Raw genomic sequence first — 7582 nt, 5'->3', positions numbered from 1 at the left:
ATAAAATGAGTTAGGGAGGATTCCCTCCTTTTCTATTGATTGGAATAGTTTCAGAAGGAATGGTACCAGTTCCTCCTTGTACCTCTGGTAGAATTCGGCTATGAATCCATCTGGTCCTGGACTCTTTTTGTTGGTAAACTATTGATTATTGCCACAATTTCAGCTCCTGTTATTGGTCTATTCAGAGATTCAACTTCTTCTTGGTTTAGTCTTGGGAGAGTGTATGTGTCGAGGAATTTATCCATTTCTTCTAGATTTTCTAGTTTATTTGCGTAGAGGTGTTTGTAGTATTCTCTGATGGTAGTTTGTATTTCTGTGGGATCGGTGGTGATATCCCCTTTATCATTTTTTATTGTGTCTATTTGATTTTTCTCTCTTTTTTTCTTTATTAGTCTTGCTAGTGGTCTATCAATTTTGTTGATCCTTTCAAAAAACCACCTCCTGGATTCATTGATTTTTTGAAGGGCTTTTTGTGTCTCTATTTCCTTCAGTTCTGCTCTGATTTTAGTTATTTCTTGCCTTCTGCTAGCTTTTGAATGTGTTTGCTCTTGCTTTTCTAGTTCTTTTAATTGTGATGTTAGGGTGTCAATTTTAGATCTTTCCTGCTTTCTCTTGTGGGCATTTAGTGCTATAAATTTCCCTCTGCACACTGCTTTGAATGCATCCCAGAGATTTTGGTATGTTGTGTCTTTGTTCTCGTTGGTTTCAAAGAACATCTTTATTTCTGCCTTCATTTCGTTATGTACCCAGTAGTCATTCAGGAGCAGGTTGTTCAGTTTCCATGTAGTTGAGTGGCTTTGAGTGAGATTCTTAATCCTGAGTTCTAGTTTGATTGCACTGTGGTCTGAGAGATAGTTTGTTATAATTTCTGTTCTTTTACATTTGCTGAGGAGAGCTTTACTTCCAACTATGTGGTCAATTTTGGAATAGCTGTGGTGTGGTGCTGAAAAAAATGTATATTCTGTTGATTTGGGGTGGAGAGTTCTGTAGATGTCTATTAGGTCCGCTTGGTGCAGAGCTGAGTTCAATTCCTGGGTATCCTTGTTGACTTTCTGTCTCATTGATCTGTCTAATGTTGACAGTGGGGTGTTAAAGTCTCCCATTATTAATGTGTGGGAGTCTAAGTCTCTTTGTAGGTCACTCAGGACTTGCTTTATGAATCTTGGTGCTCCTGTATTGGGTGCATATATATTTAGGATAGTTAGCTCTTCTTGTTGAATTGATCCCTTTACCAGTATGTAATGGCCTTCTTTGTCTCTTTTCATCTTTGTTGGTTTAAAGTCTGTTTTATCAGAGACTAGGATTGCAACCCCTGCCTTTTTTTGTTTTCCATTTGCTTGGTAGATCTTCCTCCATCCTTTTATTTTGAGCTTATGTGTGTCTCTGCACGTGAGATGGGTTTCCTGAATACAGCACACTGATGGGTCTTGACTCTTTATCCAATTTGCCAGTCTGTGTCTTTTAATTGGAGTGTTTAGTCCATTTACATTTAAAGTTAATATTGTTATGTGTGAATTTGATCCTGTCATTATGATGTTAGCTGGTGATTTTGCTCGTTAGTTGATGCAGTTTCTTCCTAGTCTCGATGGTCTTTACATTTTGGCATGATTTTGCAGTGGCTGGTACCGGTTGTTCCTTTCCATGTTTAGCGTTTCCTTCAGGAGCTCTTTTAGGGCAGGCCTGGTGGTGACAAAATCTCTCAGCATTTGCTTGTCTGTAAAGGATTTTATTTCTCCTTCACTTATGAAGCTTAGTTTGGCTGGATATGAAATTCTGGGTTGGAAATTCTTTTCTTTAGGAATGTTGAATATTGGCCCCCACTCTCTTCTGGCTTGTAGGGTTTCTGCCGAGAGATCCGCTGTTCGCCTGATGGGCTTCCCTTTGAGGGTAACCCGACCTTTCTCTCTGGCTGCCCTTAACATTTTTTCCTTCATTTCAACTTTGGTGAATCTGACAATTATGTGTCTTGGAGTTGCTCTTCTCGAGGAGTATCTTTGTGGCGTTCTCTGTATTTCCTGAATCTGAACGTTGGCCTGCCTTGCTAGATTAGGGAAGTCCTCCTGGATAATATCCGGCAGAGTGTTTTCCAACTTGGTTGCATTCTCCCCATCACTTTCAGGTACACCAATCAGACGTAGATTTGGTCTTTTCACATAGTCCCATATTTCTTGGAGGCTTTGCTCATTTCTTTTTATTCTTTTTTCTCTAAATTTCCCTTCTCGCTTCATTTCATTCATTTCATCTTCCATTGCTGATACCCTTTCTTCCAGTTGATCGCATCGGCTCCTGAGGCTTCTGCATTCCTCATGTAGTTCTCGAGCCTTGGTTTTCAGCTCCATCAGCTCCTTTAAGCACTTCTCTGTATTGGTTATTCTAGTTATACATTCTTCTAAATTTTTTTCAAAGTGTTCAACTTCTTTGCCTTTGGTTTGAATGTCCTCCCGTAGCTCAGAGTAATTTGATCATCTGAAGCCTTCTTCTCTCAGCTCGTCAAAGTCATTCTCCATCCAGCTTTGTTCCGTTGCTGGTGAGGAACTACATTCCTTTGGCAGAGGAGAGGCGCTCTGCGTTTTAGAGTTTCCAGTTTTTCTGTTCTGTTTTTTCCCCATCTTTGTGGTTTTATCTACTTTTGGTCTTTGATGATGGTGATGTACAGATGGGTTTTTGGTGTGGATGTCCTTTCTGTTTGTTAGTTTTCCTTCTAACAGACAGGACCCTCAGCTGCAGGTCTGTTGGAATACCCTGCCGTGTGAGGTGTCAGTGTGCCCCTGCTGGGGAGTACCTCCCAGTTAGGCTGCTCGGGGGTCAGGAGTCATGGACCCACTTGAGGAGGCAGTCTGCCCGTTCTCAGATCTCCAGCTGTGTGCTGGGAGAACCACTGCTCTCTTCAAAGCTGTCAGACAGGGACATTTAAGTCTGCAGAGGTTACTGCTGTCTTTTTGTTTGTCTGTGCCCTGCCCCCAGAGGTGGAGCCTACAGAGGCAGGCAGGCCTCCTTGAGCTGTGGTGGGCTCCACCCAGTTCCAGCTTCCTGGCTGCTTTGTTTACCTAAGCAAGCCTGGGCAATGGCGGGTGCCCCTCCCCCAGCCTCACTGCTGCCTTGCAGTTTGATCTCAGACTGCTGTGCTAGCAATCAGTGAGATTCCGTGGGCATAGGACCCTCCGAGCCAGGTGTGGGATATAGTCTCATGGTGCACCGTTTTTTAAGCCGTTCTGAAAAGCTCAATATTTGGGTGGGAGTGACCCGATTTTCCAGGTGCGTCCTTCACCCCTTTCTTTGACTCAGAAAGGGAACTCCCTGACCCCTTGCGCTTCCCAAGTGAGGCAATGCCTCGCCCTGCTTCAGCTTGCGCACAGTGCGTGCACCCACTGGCCTGCGCCCACTGTCTGGCACTCCCTAGTGAGATGAACCCAGTACCTCAGATGGAAATGCAGAAATCACCCGTCTTCTGCATCGCTCACGCTGGGAGCTGTAGACCAGAGCTGTTCCTATTTGGCCATCTTGACTCCTCTCCACAAATTTCTTATATTCAGCTGAGAAAGGTGTTCCCATGAAAGATAGTGGACTGAGCACTTGTATTTACTGCTTCTCCTTTCCATAGTTTCATTGAAATGAAAGGAAACATATTTTCAATAGTATTAAACCATAACAGTGCTAGAAACAAGAAAGGAATTCAGCAGTAACCCAGAAAGTTTGAGGAAATCATTAAAGAGAGAAAGCACATGGGATCTGATTAATGGGACAAATAGAGGAGGGAAATCTACAACCTAAAACTAGGGTAGTAAGAGTCTTTTTTCCAAGATAACTTCACAGTAGTTTTAAACTTAGACTCAAGAAATACAAAAGCAAAGGAGTCCATGAGGCAGTTTTCACTAACAGACAAACAGAGAGCCAAATCATGAGTGAACTCCCATTCACAATTGCTTCAAAGAGAATAAAATACCTAGGAATCCAACTTACAAGGGATGTGAAGGACTTCTTCAAGGATAACTACAAACCACTGCTCAATGAAATAAAAGAGGACACAAACAAATGGAAGAACATTCTATGCTCATGGATAGGAAGAATCAATATCATGAAAATGGCCATACTGCCCAAGGTAACTTATAGATTCAATGCGATCCCCATCAAGCTACCAATGACTTTCTTCACAGAATTGGAAAAAAACTACTTTAAAATTCATGTGGAACCAAAAAAGAGCCCACATTGCCAAGACAATCCTAAGCCAAAAGAACAAAGCTGGAGGCACTACACTACCTGACTTCAAACTGACTACAAGGCTACAGTAACCAATGCAGCATGGTACTGGTACCAAAACAGAGATATAGACCAATGGAACAGAACAGAGTGCTCAGAAATAATGCCACACATCTACAACCATCTGATCTTTGACAAATCTGACAAAAACAAGAAATGGGGAAAGGATTCCCTATTTAATAAATGGTGCTGGGAAAACTGGCTAGCCATATGTAGAAACCTGAAACTGGATCCCTTCCTTACGCCTTATACAAAAATTAATTCAAGATGGATTAAAGACTTAAATGTTAGACATAAAACCATAAAAACCCTAGAAGAAAACCTAGGCAATACCATTCAGGACATAGGCATGGGCAAGGAATTCATGTCTAAAACATAAAAAGCAATGGCAACGAAAGCCAAAATTGACAAATGGGGTCTAATTAAACTAAAGGGCTTCTGCACAGCAAAAGAAACTACCATCAGAGTGAACAGGCAACCTACAGAATGGGAGAAAATTTTTGCAATCTACTCATCTGATGAAAGGCTAATATCCAGAATCTGCAAAGAACTCAAACAAATTTACAAGAAAAAAGCAAACAACCCCATCAAAAAGTGGGCAAAGTATATGAACAGACACTTCTCAAAAGAAGACATTTACGCAGCCACAGACACATGAAAAAATGCTCATCATCACTGGCCATCAGAGAAATGCAAATCAAAACCACAATGAGATACCGTCCCACACCAGTTAGAATGGTGATCATTAAAAAGTCAGGAAACAACAGGTGCTGGAGAGGATGTGGAGAAATAGGAACACTTTTACACTGTTGGTGGGACTGTAAACTAGTTCAACCATTGTGGAAGTCAGTGTGGTGATTCCTCAAGGATCTAGAACTAGAAATGCCATTTGACCCAGCCATCCCATTACTGGGTATATACCAAGAGGATTATAAATCATGCTGCTATAAAGACACATGCACACATATGTTTATTGCGGCACTATTCACAATAGTAAAGACTTGGAACCAACCCAAATGTCCAACAATGATAGACTGGATTAAGAAAATGTGGCACATATACACCATGGAATACTATGCAGCCATAAAAAAGGATGAATTCATGTCCTTTGTAGGGACATGGATGAAGCCGGAAACCATCATTCTCAGCAAACTATTGCAAGGACAAAAAACCAAACGCTGCATGTTCTCACTCATAGGTGGGAATTGAACAATGAGAACACTTGGACACAGGAAGGGGAACCTCACACACTGGGGCCTGTTATGGGGTGGGGGGAGGGGAGAGGGATAGCATTAGGAGATATACCTAATGTAAGTGACGAGTTAATACGTGCAGCACACCAACCTGGCACATGTATAGATATGTAACAAACCTGCACGTTTTGCACATGTACCCTAGAACTTAAAGTATAATAATAATAAAAAGAATTGCATTCAGGAATGATAGGCCAATAGAGTTACTATTTCTACCTACTGCCCTCCCTCCCATTCAGAGCAAAGGGTGTTTGACAACTTAGACTTGCCAAAAGGATTAAGCCTGAAAATTGCCTCTGCATTCTGAAGACAGTAAACTACCTGCCTCAGTAGAAATGCTCCAAGGGAATGGGGACATGAGTGTTCATCAGAGGAGAATTTGAGGTAACTTTAGATCCACATAATGATTGTCTACAACCTATGGTTCTCGCTCCTACTTGTATATTAGAATCATCTGGGAAACAGTCATGTTGAGAACTACCACTCTAAAGCAGTCTTCCTAAACTTCCATGAGCATAAGAATCACCTGGGACCTTGTTAAATCCAGATTTTGATTCAGCAAATCTGAGGTATGGCCTGAGATTCTGCATTTCTACTAAGGGCCCAGGTTCCCAAGTCCAAGGCTTTTGGTGGAAGAACCAAACTTTGAATAGCAAAGATCTAAAAGAAACACAAAAGATTTAATTATAGTTTCAAAATAATATAAATATTAAGCAACTTGATCACATGAAAGTAAAAATATAGTTAACATAAGTGGGAAAGTGGGAGGAGATAGGAGAGTGAAGATAATTAAAAGGATGATTATTTCATTATCTTTTATATCTCACATTCAGGGTAAATTGATACTGTCTAAAGTTGAAATAAGAAATATATGTTTAATTTATTATTGAAATCTATTAAAATACATAATATAGCAAATAAGAGGAAGTAAAATAAAAATAGAAAGCCATGAAAGTGAGCTAAAATTTTCATCTTTCAAATTTAATAAAAATAAAATTTAATGAGCACATATAAATACTATCATAAACATCTTACAAGTATCAACTCATAAAATCTTCACAACAACACTGTGAGGTAGGTACTGTTATTATCTTCATTTTTACTTTTGAGAAAACTGAGGCTTAGAGAGATTAAAAAAAATTGCTCAAGGCCACACACCAGGAAGTAGGAGAACCAGCATTCAAACCCAGGCAGTCAGGCTTCAAAATCTATACTGTTAACCACTAACATCTCCTGAATGGAAAGGAGTCAATAGATGCTATCTAAAACACCAAGAAAGAAAAGCATAAACACATTGTCGAACGCTAAATTTGAAACCACCTGAAAAGTAGAAACTAGTATAAGTGTTATCTCTATCTGTGGGACTCAAGCCAGGGGTGGAAATGAATAAATAAAAATTTACCTTTTATTTTAGAGACTTCTGAGTAGCTTGGAAGTGCTTTACCATGCACCAAAACATTTAATTTTAAAAACCGTCTTAATGCTTTTAAGAGCATTCAGGGCCAGGCACAGTGGCTCAAGCCTGTAATCCCAACACTTTGGGAGGCTAAGGCAGGAGGATCACTTGAGGTCAGGAGTTCGAGGCCAGCCTGACCAACATGGCAAAACCCCATCTCTACTGAAAATACAAAAATTAGCCAGGCATGTTGGCATGCACCTGTAGTCCCAGCTACTAACGAGGCTGAGAGAGGAGGATGGCTTGAGCCCAGGAGATCGAGGTTGCAGTGAGCTGTGTTCATGTCACTGCACTCCAGTCTGGGTGATGGAGCAAGCCTGTCTCAAAAAAAAAAAAAAAAAAAAAAAAAGGCATGAAAAAAATAAGAAAGAAATACACCAAAATATTAAAGATAACTGTTTTCTATCTGTGGGTGAGTTAGGGTAGGAAATCATGGTCATTTTTTTTTTTCTTTTCAACCTTTCAACCATTCAAACACAATGGTTTGAAGATTTTGAACACAAAATTTCCTGAAGTTACTTTTATCTTCTAAACAGTGGAACAAACTTAAGATCTCAATGTGTAGGCCACATCATCAGAAACAGTAATGCTTTTTGATATTTTATTGAAAACAACT

The 7582-nt window shown here is 40.3% G+C and overlaps 1 annotated feature.

Annotated features, from left to right (window-relative positions):
• Positions 2665-3240: an enhancer, noted in NCBI's record as "H3K27ac-H3K4me1 hESC enhancer chrX:108356812-108357387 (GRCh37/hg19 assembly coordinates)". NCBI's record gives its function as "activates a minimal SCP1, AML or CMV promoter by ChIP-STARR-seq in primed H9 embryonic stem cells {active_cell/tissue: H9 hESC(primed)}" and the evidence as "EXISTENCE:reporter gene assay evidence [ECO:0000049][PMID:30033119]".

Source organism: Homo sapiens, chromosome X, assembly GCF_000001405.40.
Source record: "Homo sapiens chromosome X, GRCh38.p14 Primary Assembly".
NCBI classification, from domain to species: Eukaryota; Metazoa; Chordata; class Mammalia; order Primates; family Hominidae; genus Homo; species Homo sapiens.
Note: the sequence above shows the minus strand (reverse complement) of the source record. Positions and strands in the feature narration are given on the sequence as shown.